General features: G+C 40.2%; 1 protein-coding gene across 1 annotated transcript in view; it reads right to left on the bottom strand.

The window, feature by feature from the left end:
* The window catches only part of ANKFN1 (ankyrin repeat and fibronectin type III domain containing 1), a 470940-nt gene extending 457065 nt beyond the window's left edge, over positions 1 to 13875 (bottom strand). The window contains exon 1 of the mRNA XM_047435502.1: positions 13627 to 13875. The gene's annotated coding sequence lies outside the window, so the exon portion shown is untranslated. The remainder of the gene's footprint in view (positions 1 to 13626) is intronic.
* Between the last annotated feature and the right edge of the window lie 4859 nt (positions 13876 to 18734).

Below are 18734 nucleotides of genomic sequence, written 5' to 3'. Positions count from 1 at the left end.
AAAAAAACACTTCAAATTTCATATGAAGTCAAAGAAGAACCTGTATATCCAAGACAATTCTAAGCAAAAAGAACAAAGCTGGAGGCATCATGCTACCTGACATCAAACTATACTACAAGGCTACAGTAAGCAAAACAGCATAGTACTGTTACCAAAATAGACATATAGAACAATGGAACAAAATAGAGACCTCAGAAAACCACACATCTACAACATGTGATCTTCAACAAACCTGACAAAAACAAGCAATAGGGAAAGGATCTCCTATTCAATAAATGGTGCTGGGAAAACTGGCTAGCCATATGCCAAAAACTGAAACTGGATCCCTTCCTTACACCTTATACAAAAGTTAACTCAAGATGGAATAAAGACTTAAATGTAAAAACCCCAAACCATAAAAACCCTAGAAGAAAACCTAGGCAATACCATTCAGGACATAGGCATAGGCAAAGACTTCATGACAAAAAACATCAAAAGCAATTGCAACAAAAGCCAAAATTGACAAATGGGATCTAATTAAACTAAACAGCTTCTGCACAGCAAAAGAAACTAGCATCAGAGTAAATAGGCAACCTACAGAATGGGAGAACATTTTTGCAAGCTGCCCATCTGACAAAGGTCTAATATCCAGAATTTACAAGGAACTTAAACAAATTTACAAGAAAAAAACAACCCCTCAAAAAAAGTGGGCAAAGTATATGAACAGAGACTTCTCAAAGAAGACATTTACATGGCCAAAAAACATATGAAAAAAAGCTCAACATCACTGATCATTAGAAAAATGCAAATCAAAACCACAATGGGATACCACCTCAGGCCAGTCAGAATGGAGATTATTAAAAAGTCAAGAACCAATAGATGCTGGTGAGGCTGTGGGGAAATAGGAACCCTGTTACACTGTTGGTGGGAATGTAAATTAGTTCAACCATTGTGGAAGATAGTATGGTGACTCCTCAAGGATCTAGAACCAGAAATACCATTTGACCCAGCAATCCCATTACTTGGTTTATACCCAAAGGGTTATAAATCATTCTACTATAAAGACACATGCACACATATGCTTATTGCAGCACTATTTACAATAGCAAAGTCATGGAACCAACCCAAATGCCCATCAATGATAGACTGGGTAAAGAAAATGTGGTACATATACACCATGGAATACTGCACAGCCATAAAAGTGAATGAGATCATGTCCTTTGCAGGGACGTGGATGAAGCTGGAAGGCATCATCCTCAGCAAACTAACACAGGAACAGAGAACCAAACACTGTATGGTTTCACTTATAAGTGTGAGTTGAACAATGAGAACACTTGGACACGGAGCGGAACAACACACAGCAGGGCCTTTTGGGGGGTAGGGGGCAAGGGGAGGGAACTTAGAGGATGGGTCAATAGGCACAGTGAACCACCATGGCACAAGTTTATTTATGTAACAAACCTGCATGTTCTGCACATGTATCCTGGAACTTAAAGTAAAAAAGAAAAGCTGGAAGCTAGCAGAGGTTGGTTCATGAGGTTTAAGGAAAGAAGCTGCCTTTGTAACATAAAAGTGCAAGGTGAAGCAGCAAGTGCTGATGTAGAAGCTGCAGAAATGTTTCCAGAGGATCTAGCTAAGATTATTCATGAAGGTGGCGACACTAAAAACAACAGATTTTCCATGCAGATGAAACAGCCTTCTATTGGAAGAAGGTAACATCTAGGACTTTCATAGTTAGAGAGGAGAAGTCAATGCTTGGCTTCAAAGCTTCAAAGGACAGACTGGCTCTCTTGTTAGAGACCAATGCAGCTGGTGACTTTAAGTTGAAGCCATTGTTCATTTACCATTCCAAATACCCTAGGGCCTTTAAAAATTATGCTAAATCTACTCTGTGCTATGCAAATAATGTAAAATAATGCCTAAATGACAGACAGCACATCTGTGTACGGCATGGTGTACTAAATATTTTAAATCCATTGTTGAAAAGTACTGCTCAGAAAAACAGATTTATTTCAAAATATTACTGCTCATTGACAATGCATCTAGTTACTGAAGAGCTCCGATGGAGAAGAAGATGATCTCCGATGGAGATCTAGAAGGAAATTAATGTCATTTTCATGCCTTCTAACATAACACCCATTCTGCAGCCCATGGATCAAGCAGTTATTTCAACACATTTTTTTTTTTTGAGACAGAGTTTCACTCTGTTGCCCAGGCTGAGGGCAGTGGCACAATCTTGGCTCACTGCAACCTCCGCCTCCTGGGTTCAAGTGATTCTCCTGCCTCAGCCTCTCAAGTAGGTGGGACTGCAGGTGTGTGGCATGAGACCCGGCTAATTTTTGTACTTTTAGTAGAGACTGGTTTTGACCATGTTGGCCAGGTTGGTCTCGAACTTCTGACCTCAAGTGATCTGCCCGCCTCTGCCTCTCAAAGTGCTGGGATTACAGGCGTGAGCCACTGTGCCCAGCCTTCAAGTCTTACTATTTAAGAAATATACTTAAGTCTATCGCTGCTGTATATACTGTGCCCAGCCTTCAAGTCTTAGTATTTAAGAAATATACTTCTTAAGTATATCGCTGCTGATGGAGCTTGACAAACTAAATCAAAAGTCTTCTGGAAAGGATTCCCCATTCTAGATGCCATTAAGAACACTTGTGATTCATGGGGGAAGGTAAAAGTATCATTAACAGGAGTTTTGAAGAAGTTGATTGCATTCTTCATGGTTGACTTTGAGGGATCCAAGCCTTCAGTGGAGGAAGTAACTGCAAATGTGGTGGAAAGAACAAGAGAACTAGAATTAGAAGTGGAACCTAAAGGTGTGACTGAATTGCTGCAATCTCATGATAAATCTTGAGTAGATGAGGAGTTGTTTCTTATGCATGAGCAAAGAAAGTGGTTTCTTTAGATGGAATTTACTCCTAGTGAAGATGCTGTGAACACTGTTGAGATGACAACAAAGGATTTTGAAAATACATAAACTTGGGTTGATAAAGCAGTAGCAGGGTTTGAGATAATTGATTCAAATTATGACAGAAGTTCTGCTGTGGACAAAATGCCATTAAACAAAATATGCTACAGAGAAATATTTTGCGAAAGAGAGTCAAAGTCAAACAATGCAGCAAACTTCACTGTTATTTTTTAAAATTGCCAATTTATCTATTTTCATTTTTGTTGCATTTGCTTTTGGAGTCTTCATCATAAATTCTTTGCCTAGGCAAATGTCCAGAAGAGTTTTTCCTAGTTTTCTTCTAGGATTTTTATAGTTTCAGGTCTTACATTTAAGTCTTAATTCATCTTGAGTTAATTATTTATATATGGTAAGGGATAGGGGTCCAGTTTCATTCTTCTGCATATGTCTAGCCAGTTTTCCCAGCACCATTTATTGAATAGACTGTCCTATCTCCATTGCTTATTTTTGTCAGCTTTGTCAAAGATCAGTTGATTGTAGGCACTGGGCTTTATATTTGGGTTCTCTATTCTGTCCCATTGATCTATGTGTCTATTTTTATATCAGAACCATGTTGTTTCAGTCACTGCAGCCTTGTAGTATAATTTGAAGTCAGGCAATGCAATCCCTCTGGCTTTTTTTTTTTTTTGCTTAGAATTGTTTTGACTATTCAGGGTCTTTTTTGGTTTCACGTGAACTTTAAAATTGTTTTTTCTAATTCTATAAGAAATGACATTAGTAATTTGACAAAGATTGTGTTAATCTGTAGAGTATTTTTAGCAGTATGGGACTTAATTAAAATAAAAAGAGTCTGCACAGCAAAAGAAAAGAATCAACTGAGTAAACAACCAACCAACAGAATGGAAGAAAATATTTGCAAATTATGCTTCTGACAAAGGACTAATATATCCAGAATCTACAAGGAACTCAAACAACTCAACAAGAAAAAAGAAAAACATTAAAAACTGGGCAAAGAACATGAACTGATATTTTTCAAAAGAGGAAATATAAGCAGCAAAAGAAAAAAAAACATGAAAAAATTCTCAACATCAATAATTGTCAGAGAAACACAAATTAAAACCACAATGAGATATCTTATGCTAGTCAGAATGGCTATTATTAAAAAGTCTAAAAGCTACAGATGTTGATGTGGATATGGAGAAAAGGGAATGCTTATACATTGCTGGTGGGAATATAAATTATTTCAACCTCTATGGAAAACAGTATAGAGATTTCTCAAAGAACTAAAAATAGAACTACCATTCAACCCAGCAATCTAACTATTGAGTATCTACCCAAAGAAAGAGAAATCAATATATAAAAAGACACCTGTACTCATATGTTCATTGCAGCATTATTCACAACAGCAAAGTCATGAAACCAACCTGAGTACGTCTCCATCAGTGATTGACTGGATAAAAAAATGTGTATATATACATATATATATATATATATATATGTATATATACCACACACACACATATACCACATTAGGCATACACACACACACACACAGACATACATACACACACACATATATATATACACACAGACATAATGGAATAATACACACACACACACACAGACATAATGGGATAATATACAACCACAAAACAGAATGAAATCATGTCCTTTGCAGCAACATGAATGAAGCTGAAGGCCATTATCCTAAGTGAACTAACTCAGAAACAGAAAACCAAATATCTCATATGTTCACACTTATAAGTGGGAACTAAACAATGGGTACACATGGACATAAAGATGGAGATAATGAACACCACTAGGGACTCCAAAAGGGAGGAGAACGGGAGGTGGGCAAGGGTTGAAAAACTACCTATCAGGTACAATGTTTACTATTTGGGTAATGGGTACATTAGAAGCCAAATCCCCACCAGTATGCAATATATCCATGTAATAAACAACCACATGCACCCCCTGAATCAAAGAAAATCAGAGGAAAAAAAAAAAAGGAAATTGCCACAGTCACCTCAACCTTCAACAACCACCACCCTGATCAGTCAGCAGCCATCAACGATGAACAAAAATGTTATGACTCCCTGAAGGCTCAGATGAGCATTTGTATTCTTTAGCAATTTAAGTTTTTTATTTGTATTTACTTATTTTTATTTTTATTGTTTTTGAGACAGGGTCTTGCTCTGTCACCCAGGCTGGAGTGCAATGGTGTGATCACACCTCACTGCAGCCTCAACCTCCCAGGCTCAAGTGATCCTCCCACCTCAGCCTCCTGAGTAGCCGGGACTAATTCTTGTATTAGTCTGGCTAATTTGTTTATTTTTTGTTGCCCAGGCTGGTCTTGAACCCCTAGACTCAAGTGATCCACCCGCCTCAGACTCCAAAAGTGCTAGGATTACAGGTGTGAGCCACCATGCTCAGTCTGCAATTAAGTATTTTTAAATTCAGGTATATACATTGATTTTTTTTAGACATAATGCTATTGTAAACTTAATAGACTACAGAATAGTTTAAATATAACTTTTATAGGCACTGGAAAACCAAAAAATCATGTGAATTTTGTTATTGCAACATCCACTTTATTTTGGTGGTCTGAAACCAAACCCGCAATGTCTCTGAGACATGCCTGTAACAGGCATCAGGGTCAGACTCACTAGCTCTACGACCCAGGACAAGTTGCAAAACATCTCAAAACCTGAGTGAGTTTCTTGGTGAAATAAGAGATATGGATGGTGGCTATTTTTCATGGCTGTTGTGAGGATTAAATAAAAATTCATGCACATGTTTAAGTGTCCTTTTCATATAATGAATTATTTTCCTTTGGGTACATACCCAGTAGTGGGATTGCTGGATCAAATGGTAGATCTACTTTCAGCTCTTTGAGGAATCTCCATACTGTTTTTCCATAGAGGTTGTACTAATTTACATTCCCACCAACAGCGTAAAAGCATTCCCTTTTCCCCACATCCAAGCCAACATCTATTTTTTGTTGACTTTTTAATATGGAGTGATATAACGGACTTCAGAGAATCAGAAGAGGGAGGGAGGAAGAATGGCTAGGGATAAAAAACTACACATTAGGTACAACGTACATTACTTGGATGGCAGGCGCACTAAAATCTCAGAATTCACCACTATAGAACTCAACCACTTGTACTCCAAAAGTGATTGAAATAATTTTTTTAAAAAATACCTTTTTTCCTCATTAATTAAGGAAATTGATTAAAAACCAACATCAAATGCTGGTGAAGATGTGGAGAAAAGGGAACCTACATGCACTGTTGCTGGGAATGTAAATGAGTACGATCACTGTGAAGAACAGTTCGGAGTTTCCTCAAAAAAAACTAAAAATACAGCTACCATAAAATCCAACAATCCCACTGCTGGGTATATAACCCAAAGAAAAGAAATCAGTACATTCAAGATATCTGCACTCCCATGTTTTTTGCAGCTCTGTTCACAATAGCCAAGACTTAGAAGCAACCTAAGTGTCCATCAATAGATGAATGGGAAAGAAAATGTAGTATATATACACAATGGAGTACTATTTAGCCATAAAAGGGAATGAGATCCTGTCATTTGCAATGTCATGGAGAGAAATGAAGTTGTGATTATGTTAAGTGGAATGAGCCAGGCACAGAAAGACAAACTTTGTATGCTCTCATTTACACTTGTGGGTGCTAAAAATTAAAACAGTTGAACTCATGGAGATAGACAGTGGAAGGATAGTTACCAGAGGCTGGGAAGGGTAGTGAGGTGGGGTGGGGGATAAAGGCATGAGGTGATGGATGCCCCATTTATCCTGATGTGATTATTACAAATTTTATGCCTATATCAAAATATCTCATGTTCCCCACAGATACATACACTTCCTATGTACCCACAAATATTAGAAATAAAAAAAGTAAAATAATATATGCTCAAAGCCCCTACAAAAAGTATCCGGTACATAGTAAATAGCATTAGTCACTATTGTGATCTCATCATCATTACTGTTATTATTATTATTACTAGTACATTTTAGCTACACAGTAGTGTTTCAATGCTCTTTTACATTTTTTATCATTCCCTCATCCCATGTTAAATGAGTTGACGGTCCAGTGATTAAGAATGCAGACTCTGGAGCTAGACTGTTTGGGCTCAAATTGTGGTCCTACAACTTTCAAGTGGCATGAGACCCTTTTCTCTTCTGCAATGCCTTCTTATCTGCTGGCTGGCATACGTGAGACCCCATCTACTCTCTGGTATAACTTCCTTGTTTCTCAATTTTTAAACCTGTAAGAGGGAAATAATAATAGTGCACACCACATAGGGTTGTTGAGAGGATGACATGAAACAATGTAGCTAGAACACTTAAAGCATGGCCAACACACACAGCAAGCCCTAAGTGGAAGCTGTCATTATTAGGTGAGAGATGGGAATGCATGCAGTGAATAAAGCAGAAACCACACTTGCCCTCCTGAATATAATTTTGCAGAAAATCTAGACCTTAAACCAATAATACACTAAAGATTGAGAAGTGTTATCATTTAGAAAGTCCTCCTAATGTCTTTCTTAAATACTACCATTTAAAAGCCTCTTATCTTCTCCTTAGTGGACCAAAGCTTTATTCTTTTCTGCAGGCCACGGGCATGCCATTTCTCCTGGTCTGTCCATCCTAGGCTTCCTTTCCTTCCTGAACCACTGCCCCACCACTTCCACTGGAAATCACACTCAGATCAGAGTCCAGCTTCCAGTAGCTCCCCAGTTTTGTAAAGCAGTGCTTCTTCTAATAAGCCCTCGCAGACTGAAAAAGTCAGTAAAGCTTCTAAAAAAAATCATTTATCTATATCTCTGTTTTGGTACCAGTACCATGCTGTTTTGGTTACTGTAGCCTTGTAGTATAGTTTGAAGTCAGGTAGTGTGATTCCTCCAGCTTTGTTCTTCTGGCTTAGGATTGACTTGGCAATGCGGGCTCTTTTTTGGTTCCATATGAACTTTAAAGTAGTTTTTTCCAATTCTGTGAAGAAAGTCATTGGGAGCTTGATGGGGATGGCATTGAATCTGTAAATTACCTTGGGCAGTATGGCCATTTTCACGATATTGATTCTTCCTACCCATGAGCATGGAATGTTCTTCCATTTGTTTGTATCCTCTTTTATTTCTTTGAGCAGTGGTTTGTAGTTCTCCTTGAAGAGGTCCTTCACATCCCTTGTAAGTTGGATTCCTAGGTATTTTATTCTCTTTGAAGCAATTGTGAATGGGAATTCACTCATGATTTGGCTCTCTGTTAGTCTGTTGTTGGTGTATAAGAATGCTTGTGATTTTTGTACATTGATTTTGTATCCTGAGACTTTGCTGAAGTTGCTTATCAGCTTAAGGAGATTTTGGGCTGAGACAATGAGGTTTTCTAGATATACAGTCATGTCATCTGCAAACAGGGACAATTTGACTTCCTCTTTTCCTAATTGAATACCCTTTATTTCCTTCTCCTGCCTAATTGCCCTGGCCAGAATTTCCAACACTATGTTGAATAGGAGTGGTGAGAGAGGGCATCCCTGTCTTGTGCCAGTTTTCAAAGGGAATGCTTCCAGTTTTTGCCCATTCAGTATGATATTGGCTGTGGGTTTGTCATAGATAGCTCTTATTATTTTGAGATATGTCCCATCAATACCTAATTTATTGAGAGTTTTTAGCATGAAGGGTTGTTGAATTTTGTCAAAGGCTTTTTCTGCATCTATTGAGATAATCATGTGGTTTTTGTCTTTGGTTCTGTTTATATGCTGGATTACATTTATTGATTTGCGTATATTGAACCAGCCTTGCATCCCAGGGATGAAGCCCACTTGATCATGGTGGATAAGCTTTTTGATGTGCTGCTGGATTTGGTTTGCCAGTATTTTATTGAGGATTTTTGCATCAATGTTCATCAAGGATATTGGTCTAAAATTCTCTTTTTTGGTTGTGTCTCTGCCCGGCTTTGGTATCAGAATGATGCTGGCCTCATAAAATGAGTTAGGGAGGATTCCCTCTTTTTCTATTGATTGGAATAGTTTCAGAAGGAATGGTACCAGTTCCTCCTTGTACCTCTGGTAGAATTCGGCTGTGAATCCATCTGGTCCTGGACTCTTTTTGGTTGGTAAACTATTGATTATTGCCACAATTTCAGCTCCTGTTATTGGTCTATTCAGAGGTTCAACTTCTTCCTGGTTTAGTCTTGGGAGAGTGTATGTGTCGAGGAATTTATCCATTTCTTCTAGATTTTCTAGTTTATTTGCGTAGAGGTGTTTGTAGTATTCTCTGATGGTACCAAAACAGAGATATAGATCAATGGAACAGAACAGAGCCCTCAGAAATAACGCCGCATATCTACAACTATCTGATCTTTGACAAACCTGAGAAAAACAAGCAATGGGGAAAGGATTCCCTATTTAATAAATGGTGCTGGGAAAACTGGCTAGCCATACGTAGGAAGCTGAAACTGGATCCCTTCCTTACACCTTATACAAAAATCAATTCAAGATGGATTAAAGATTTAAACGTTAGACCTAAAACCATAAAAACCCTAGAAGAAAACCTAGGCATTACCATTCAGGACATAGGCATGGGCAAGGACTTCATGTCCAAAACACCAAAAGCAATGGCAACAAAAGACAAAATTGACAAATGGGATCTAATTAAACTAAAGAGCTTCTGCACAGCAAAAGAAACTACCATCAGAGTGAACAGGCAACCTACAAAATGGGAGAAAATTTCCGCAACCTACTCATCTGACAAAGGGCTAATATCCAGAATCTACAATGAACTCCAACAAATTTACAAGAAAAAAACAAACAACCCCATCAAAAAGTGGGCGAAGGACATGAACAGACACTTCTCAAAAGAAGACATTTATGCAGCCAAAAAACACATGAAAAAATGCTCATCATCACTGGCCACCAGAGAAATGCAAATCAAAACCACTATGAGATACCATCTCACACCAGTTAGAATGGCAATCATTAAAAAGTCAGGAAACAACAGGTGCTGGAGAGGATGTGAAGAAATAGGAACACTTTTACACTGTTGGTGGGATTGTAAACTAGTTCAACCATTGTGGAAGTCAGTGTGGCGATTCCTCAGAAATCTAGAACTAGAAATACCATTTGACCGAGCCATCCCATTACTGGGTATATACCCAAAGGACTATAAATCATGCTGCTATAAAGACACATGCACACGTATGTTTATTGCGGCATTATTCACAATAGCAAAGACTTGGAACCAACCCAAATGTCCAACAATGATAGACTGGATTAAGAAAATGTGGCACATATACACCATGGAATACTATGCAGCCATAAAAAATGATGAGTTCATGTCCTTTGTAGGGACATGGATGAAATTGGAAATCATCATTCTCGGTAAACTATCGCAAGAACAAAAAACCAAACACTGCATATTCTCACTCATAGGTGGGAATTGAACTATGAGAACACATGGACACAGGAAGGGGAATATCACACTCTGGGGACTGTGGTGGGGTCGGGGGAAGGGGGAGGGATAGCATTGGGAGATATACCTAATGCTAGATGACGAGTTAGTGGGTGCAGCGCACCAGCATGGCACATGTATACATATGTAACTAACCTGCACAATGTGCACATGTACCCTAAAACTTAAAGTATAATAAAAAAAAATCATTTATCAAACCCGCTTCTATATGGTAGGAAAGTCTTGCTCCCAAGACACTGTTATTTCCCACTTGTGCAGGTCAGGGTGGGCAAATGCATGCTGAGCTGCTGTGTGGTTGCCACTGGGCATTCTTGGCCTTTGCACAAATCATTAGCGAATGAATAAAAGAGATAATCACTGAAGCAATTTATAAGTGAGTTACCTAGGAGGTCAGGGAAGCACAGATTAATCTCCAAATGGATAAGACACAAAGGAGGAGAAAATAAAAGAACACTTGAAAAAATTGTCCCCACAGCAGGTAGAAACTGAAAAAGAAGTATTCTACAAATCTGATTTGATAGGGGTTGACATTCAGAAATCCTTGCGCCCTGTCTGGCCTCCATCACTAAAGCACATGCACTTGTGAGATCATTACAGGGCAGTGGAAACTATAAGACATGTTATTTTTTTCCCCTGATTACCTTTGCTAGTCTTCACCTTCCCCCAAACCCCACACCCACTCTGCCAGACATCAGCTTCAAATCCTGCCCAAGAAGTGCGCTTAGCTCTATGCTGGCTCTGTTAGGGGAGGGAAGGAAGACAGAGGCCCCAAGGCATCTGCCAGGATTGAGCTCTAGGGCTTGGAACTAGGCTGGCTTCCCCTCCTGCATACCCTGGCTCATGATTTTCAGGTGCCCTGGGACAGGATAGAGATCTTCTACCTTTCCTTTCTTCATCCTTTACAGGGATGGAAATGAGAGGCTGCTGAGCTTGATGCTTGATTTCCTCATGCCTGTCATGGACAGAGTGAAGGCACCTGGGAAGCTGCAGGCCTGTCCTGAGGAGGACAAGAATGCTTGGCTCACTAGGACTCAAAGCAAGTTTTAAAAAAGGGGGCCAGTATAATTTTACAGCTCCTAATTTAGGGAGAGAAAAAAATAAAGAATCTAATGTGCATCAGGCTCTAGATAATTGGTGTTTATCTGGACCATATTATTGATGATTTTGGAAAATAGAAACACGTTTCAGAGAAGAGTCTGGTAACAGGCATGAAAAGCCATAAAAATTCATATTTTCTTAGTAATATCAATGTTAAGAATTCATCCCCCCAGGAAGTAAAAATGCTTTGGGCACAGAAATATTCATAAGTGGCATTATAATTATGAAAAAAACTATAAGCAATTTAATTATATCCAACAATTGCTAAACAGATTACAGCATATCCATATCAGGGATTAATTCATTCAATCCAACCACAGATGATAATCTCTATGAAAGTTGTACTGGAATAAGGGAAAGTATTTTGGAATAATACTAGGGAATAAAGCAAAACAAATACAAATATCTAAACCACAGTTACAACCGTGTCAAAAATGTATACATGGACAAAGATTGGGAGATGGCACAGGGAAAAATCAGAGGTGCTAAAGGGGTGAGATTAGGAGAAGATCCTTTAAAAACACTGTAACGTTTCTGCAATGCATTAATAGTAACGGGAAAAAATAAAGAGTCACAGGCATCAGATTATTCATATTGCCCTATTTTGTTGGCTTTTCCTGGGTTGCTTAAATTAGGTCTTCTCAACCTGTCTGCCAAGGCACACCACTGTGTCATGGAAGGGTCCAGATATGGTGCTGACCCCTAGCATTGAGCCCTGTCCACTTGGATGGCCACCTGAGCCCTCTTGCTACTTATCACCTGATTTGAACAGCTTTCTCCGTTTACCCCCATGTGTCATGGTGGGGGCAGGGAGGGGAAGCGTGGGGAGAACTGCTTCAGTGAAAGGATACCTTGTAGAAGACAGATGGCTCTTTCCTCTCCCCAGTTCCCATCCCCTGGTTCATATTTCATTTTATGTCCCATAGCAACTTGGGAGCTGGGGCCCTGACTCCCACATAACAGCATTCAGTTGTGCACCCAAGCATCCAGCCAACCACGCCACTCCTGGCCAAGTCCCAGTGCAGAGTGCCTCAGACTCTTCAACCCTCATTACACACAGCTGCTCAAAGCCAGCTCTAAGGATAAGCAGAGTGCTCCTCCCGTGCTCCTTCGTTCTCCCCCTTTCCCCCTCTCTTGGAGATGAACTAGTATGCATTTACTGCAGATTCCCAAATATCTAGACATTCAGCATGACATGCTGAGAAACATCAAAGCCTTTAAGGAAAGAAAGAAGCAGGGCAGGGAGGGGGATCCTGTGTCTCCAGATAACCAGGATACAGGCAACTTTATGACCAGACACACTTTTGCTCAGCACATTATTTAGCATTAGTAACGACCATTACCCAAAGGTATACAGCACTGTCTTATACTAAGACAACCTGATGCTCACTGCAAAAGTGCTTTACAGCAAAATCATTCTTACCTGTCTCCTTTCAACTTCAATCTATCCAGTGTTCACAGATAGCAAATTTCAGGGCTTAATTTAAAAAAAAAGAAAAGAAAGGAAAAGAAAAAACTTTCCCATAGTTCAAAACAGGTGTCAATGTTGAAATACCTCGTTATTTTCCCCAGGCTGAGAGGATGGGTAAAATGCAACTCATGCTTTTCCGTGCCCAGACTGTGTTCTTTGAACACATTCAACATTGACAACTGAGAGGTTAAATCATATTGGATTTGGTGCTGTTTATTACAGGCAACTCCAGCTGAGAACCAGAGATACAAAAGTCACCCTCATCTTTTTGCAGCTAGAGGGATGTAAATGCCCCTCCACATTAAGGCGCTTGATAGCAAAGAAATAGAGATCCACACATCTGCAAAAGAAACTTGGGAAAGAAACCCTCTAGGGAGTTCTTTCACCTGGGAAAGCTCCTCTGGACAGTGATGTCTTTCTGCCATGCAGCCCACTTTAAAGACTGAAGAAGAAGGAAAAAAAAGAAAATATGTCCCACCTGCTGATTTTTTTTTTATAATCTGCAGAGAAAATGCAAGTGCGTGTGGGCACACTCCTGTACCTCCTTTGGAAGAGGAGGACAGATTTCAAATGCACTTGTTAATTACTGCCAGCCCCAACCCACACACATATGCCCACCTCACAGCCGAGACCCCTCCCCAGCATTCCTTTCCCAGCTGCAAAGAAATCACAAAATGCTACTCACATGCGGCAGCCTCAGCCTCCCTTTACCTCTTCCCAGCCTGTGCACGGGCTCCAGTCGCTGCTGCTGCTGCTGTTGCTGCTGCTTTTCCTGTTGCAAATGAAACAAACCTTCATCGACAGAGATGGTTTTCCTCTGGGCTGCTTTGTCTGAGATTCCCCAGATGAACACCGACTCGTTTATGTCATTATCCGTGTTCGATAGCTCCCCTAACACAAGCAGGGCTTTGGGGCTGTTAGTTTCCACCGGCTGGGCTTCTGGTGAGAGAAACAACAGACCTGAAACTGACAACTGATCGCATCAAAACACTCCAGGGGATGGCAACCCAAGACTATGAAGTAACACATTAGCTAACAATGATACCATACAAAGCCGTAGATCATCTGTCTACATTGGCACTGTGAGCCTAACCAAGTTGAAGAGACATTATTTATGAACTTATAGCATCCAGAATGGCTCCAGGTAAAGCCATATAGGCATAGTGTCATAGAAGGATTCTGCAACCCTCAGACATGTTCAACATTGTGGAAATCAATAAGGAGGTAATACCATTTAAAGTTAAAGGCTTTCAAATAGACCAGGGCTTATAGAAATTTAAGTGGACTTAGGTTTAAATGTGAGTTCTATCACTTCTTAGCTGTGTGTATTTGGGCAAAGTCCTTGTCCTCTCTGAATCTCTTTCTTCATCTGCACATTAGAGATAGTAATACTTACCCCATAGGAGGGTTGCAAGAAGTAAGTGAGATAGTATATATAAATAATAGCATTCAATGCATATCATATAATAGGCACCCCATAAGAAATATAAAGATCCACCACTCTGCAGCAGTTCACTTTGGGGACTCCTCATTTCTTAATGAAAGTCCTTGTAGTTGTATTATAAAATACCAGGATCATTCCAACGGTCCATTTGAACCTTAACTGCTTCCTCAGAGGAAACAGGTTATGACACTTATACATATTTGGGGCAGCCCTAAATTCCAGGTCTCAAGCATGTAAGAATCCTGGGATGTCCAATTCTCAGTTGTGGGAAACAGAACCACAGATTGATCAAGATTGCTCAGTACGAAGAAGACACTGACTTCTGCTGCTTACTCTTAGAAACAGCCTCGTAAGTACAGAATGGGAATCTACTTTCATGGAAGCTCCTTGTTTAGAAAGGCTGGGGGTTTCTCATGACTGACCGGTTTTGACAAGGGGACCCTCAGTAGAGAAATCTGTATTCACTTCAAAACTTGAAAGAGAGTGTGTTCAAGTGATGAAAAAAAAAATACAGAGTGTTAATGCCTGAGTAGATCTCTAGGGCATTCTCATCCTAACTTCTCTTTTCCCAACTGAGAACATTGATGTTCAGGGTCTGGTCTTTACTGACTTCTCTCCTGCCTCCCACTACCCCAAAAACAGCAGAAGAAAGCTTGTCCTGTGCCCCAGCCCTTGGAAAAATGCCTATTGCCCAGTTTCAAGGACTTTCTACCAGTGGAGCCAACATAAAGTAGACCCAGGGTTGGCAAATAGCTTAGCCTAGTCTACTGTGCCCTATCTAATCCCACAAAGCACGTTAGATGGAAAGTATGCTTCTGTGTCCTGGACACTACTCTCTCAATGAATCAGGGTGAATGAACAAATGTTAGAAACCTCAACCAGATAAGTTCCTGGAAAGTCTTCTCTCATGGGGGTGACATGAAGGGATATATCATCGCTCATGGCTTTAAAAATGAATTTGTAAATTTGTAAATGAATTTAAGATACAAAGGGAAGAACTGAAGAGGTAATCAGTCAACTAAGTTACACACTAGTTCCTTCTAAGAGCTTAGAGAGCCTTAATAAGACCCACCATGGAAATGCCATTTTGTGAGGAATGTATACCAAGTACTTGTACCAGTGTCTGCTACATTGTAAGTGCTCAATAAATTCTGGTAATAATAATAACCAATAAGGACAAAGATGAAAGAATTCCTATAATTTGAGCTCATAAGTTGTACCAGGCATCACACCAGCATTTTACATATGTTGCCTTATTAAATGCTCACAACCACCATGGGAGAGGGATATTATAATTCCAATTTTATGGATGAGGAAATTGAGGCATAGGAACTGAAGCAATTAGAAGAGAATGTTCACAAAGTTCCATGACTACACTTGCCCAACTACCAGCATCTGTGCCTGCAGACTCTGCCTCCTCTACTTACTGTCAATGAATTGTTGCTTTCCTCATCTAAGGAAACCTTCTGACTACTCAAGGACATCACTGCAGCAATATTCTTAAATCTTTATTTCCCTATCAATATTTCCTTCTCTACTGGATAATTCTCAACAGGTTTATGCTATTTGTTCTCCTCTTAAAAAAAATAAAAACTTCAGCTGATCCTATATTCACCTCCAGCTTCTGCCCATTTAGATATTCCCCTCTATTTCAAAAATTCTCTCAAGAATAGTCAAGATCATTGTTTAAATTCCCTTTCTCTCTTGAACTTACTCTAATCTGACTTTTACTGCCACCCATCAACCGAAGTACATTTGTGAAAGTCATTGATGACCTCTAGAATTCTATTGTCAATCCTCATCTTTTTTGACCTACCAGCATCATTTGATACAGGTGATCCCTCCCCTCCTCTTTGAAACACTTTCTTCAGTTGGCTCTCAGAACCCCACGTTGCCTGTTTTTCCTTCTCCCTCACCAGCTGTCCTTTCTCAGTCTCCTCTGTTGCTAGCATCTCTCTTCTAGTTATAGAAGAGTGTCAGAAAGCAGTCAAAAGCCCAAACTCTAAAGGTAGAAAGCCTAGGTTGAAATCCTGGCTGTGCAAGTCAGTAGGTGATCTTAGGAAAGTTACTTAATCTCTTTCTCCTAGTTGTCTCATCTATCAAATAAGAATAATAAATAGTTCTTACCTTATGGGGTTGCCGTGAAGATAGTAAATGAATTAATATATGGAAGCACTTAGAACAGAGCCTGGCACCTGGTAAGCACTGCATGAACGGCAGCTATTTTGATTACCCACCTCTTAACATTGAGCACCTGAGGTCATAGTCCTTGCATGACTGCTCTTCTCTGAGTGATCTCATCTCTCATTGCTTTAAAAATCGTTTACAGGCAGGTTTAAATCTACAGTCTAGCCCTCTCTTCAACAAGGTGGTCCCAGTGGCCTAATTAGTATTTCCTCTTAGATGTTTACTGGGCACCTCAAAATTGAGATATCAAAAACCAAACACCTGTTTTTCTCAACAAACTTGTTCCTCCCTCAGGTTTCTTCATCTCAGTTAATGACAAATCCTTCTTTCCAATGGCTCAGGTCAAAAACTTTGAAGTTATTATCGACTTATCTTTCCCTCACACCCAACATGCAGTCTATCAACAAATCCTGGTGGCACTATCTCTAAGTATATCTAGAATTTGCCCCCTCTCACTTTATCCATGGCTGCCTACCTGGTTCAAGCCACAGTGATCTCTTGCATGGATCATTTCAATAGCCTCTTACCAGTTCTGTGTGCTTCCATCACTTCCCTCCTGCAGACTATTCTCAACATAGTGCGATCTTTCAAAACCTGGGGCCAGATCGCTGGGCGTGGTGGTTCATGCCTGTAATCCCAGCACTTTGGGAGGCCGAGGCGGGCGGATTGTCTGAGCTCAGGAGTTCGCGACCAGCCTGGGTAACAAGGTGAAACCCCCGTTTCTACTAAATACAAAAAAATTAGCCAGGCATGGCGGCGTGCGCGTATAGTCCCAGCTACTTGGGAGGCTGAGGCAGGAGAACTGCTTGAACCCGGGAGGCGGGGGTTGCAGTGAGCCCGAAGCCGAGATCGCGCCACTGCACTCCAGCCTGGGTGACAGAGTGAGACTCCGTCAAAAAAAACAAAAACAAACAAAAAAAACCTGGGGCCAGATCATTCCGCTCCTCTGCTCAAAACTCTCCAGGAGCTTCCCATTTCACTCAGGAAACAAATGCCAATGTCTTCTTAATAGTTTCCAAGCCCCTAAAAGGTCCAGCTCTCTGCTTCCCCTCTTAAATCTCTTGTAGCTCATTCCCTATTAACTCTCCCCATCACTTATAGTGCCCTAGACACACAGACTTCTTGCTGGTCTTTGAACACACCATGCTCCCTTCTGACCCCTGCCCCTCCAGGGCTTGTAAGCTTGCTTTCTATCTGCCTGGAGCACTTTATTCCCATATACCTACCTGATTCATTTCTTTACCCCTTCAACCTTCTTTCCAATGTTACTTTCTCAGTGATACCTTCCCTAATCATCCTATTTCAAATTGGTTTCTTCGGCCAGGTGCCGTGGCTCATGCCTGTAATCCCAGCACTTTGGGAGGCCGAGGTGGGTGGATCACCTGAGGTCAGGGATTTGAGACCAGCCTGGCCAACATGGTGAAAACCCATCTCTACTAAAAATACAAAAATTAGCTAGGTGTGGTGACAGGCACCTGTAATCTCAGCTACTCAGAAGGCTGAGGCAGGAGAATTGCTTGAACGCGGGAGGCGGAGGTTGCAGTGAGCTGAGATCACACCATTGCACTCCAGCCTGGGTGACAAGAGCAAAACTCCATCTCAAAATAAATAAATAAATAAATAAAATAAAATAAAATAAAATTGTTTTTTTCTCAGCACTCTCTCTTCCCCAACTGTATTTTTCTCCATAATACTAGTCACTGAATAACATGCATTTTCTATTTGTGCATGTGTTGTTTTTCTTCAGATGTCTCCCTTTATAAATATGTAAGCTTGATGAGAGTAGTTTTCTCTCTCTCTCTTTTTTTTTTAACTGCTACCCATCCAGTGCCTAGAAAAGAGCTTGCACTAAATAGATACTAATTAAATATTTCTTGAATGGATGGATGGGACTAAGAGGATGAAACCTCTTGTTGGAGGCCACAGAGGTAATACATGATGGAGCTGGACTTAAACAGATCTTTCCACTTTCCCAGCCCTTGTTCTTTCCAATGCACCAGTACTGTCTCTACCGAAGTGTTGTGAAGACCATACTAGACTTACTAGTGCCACCTAAACAAAGTTTTAAATTCTTAGTGACTTGTAGATCTTATGCTACATTTCACTGGCTTCAGGCTGCCTGGCTCTCTGTCACTACTTGCTAACATTCTATCAACAAAATA

Source organism: Homo sapiens, chromosome 17, assembly GCF_000001405.40.
Source record: "Homo sapiens chromosome 17, GRCh38.p14 Primary Assembly".
Classification (NCBI taxonomy): domain Eukaryota; kingdom Metazoa; phylum Chordata; class Mammalia; order Primates; family Hominidae; genus Homo; species Homo sapiens.
Note: the sequence above shows the minus strand (reverse complement) of the source record. Positions and strands in the feature narration are given on the sequence as shown.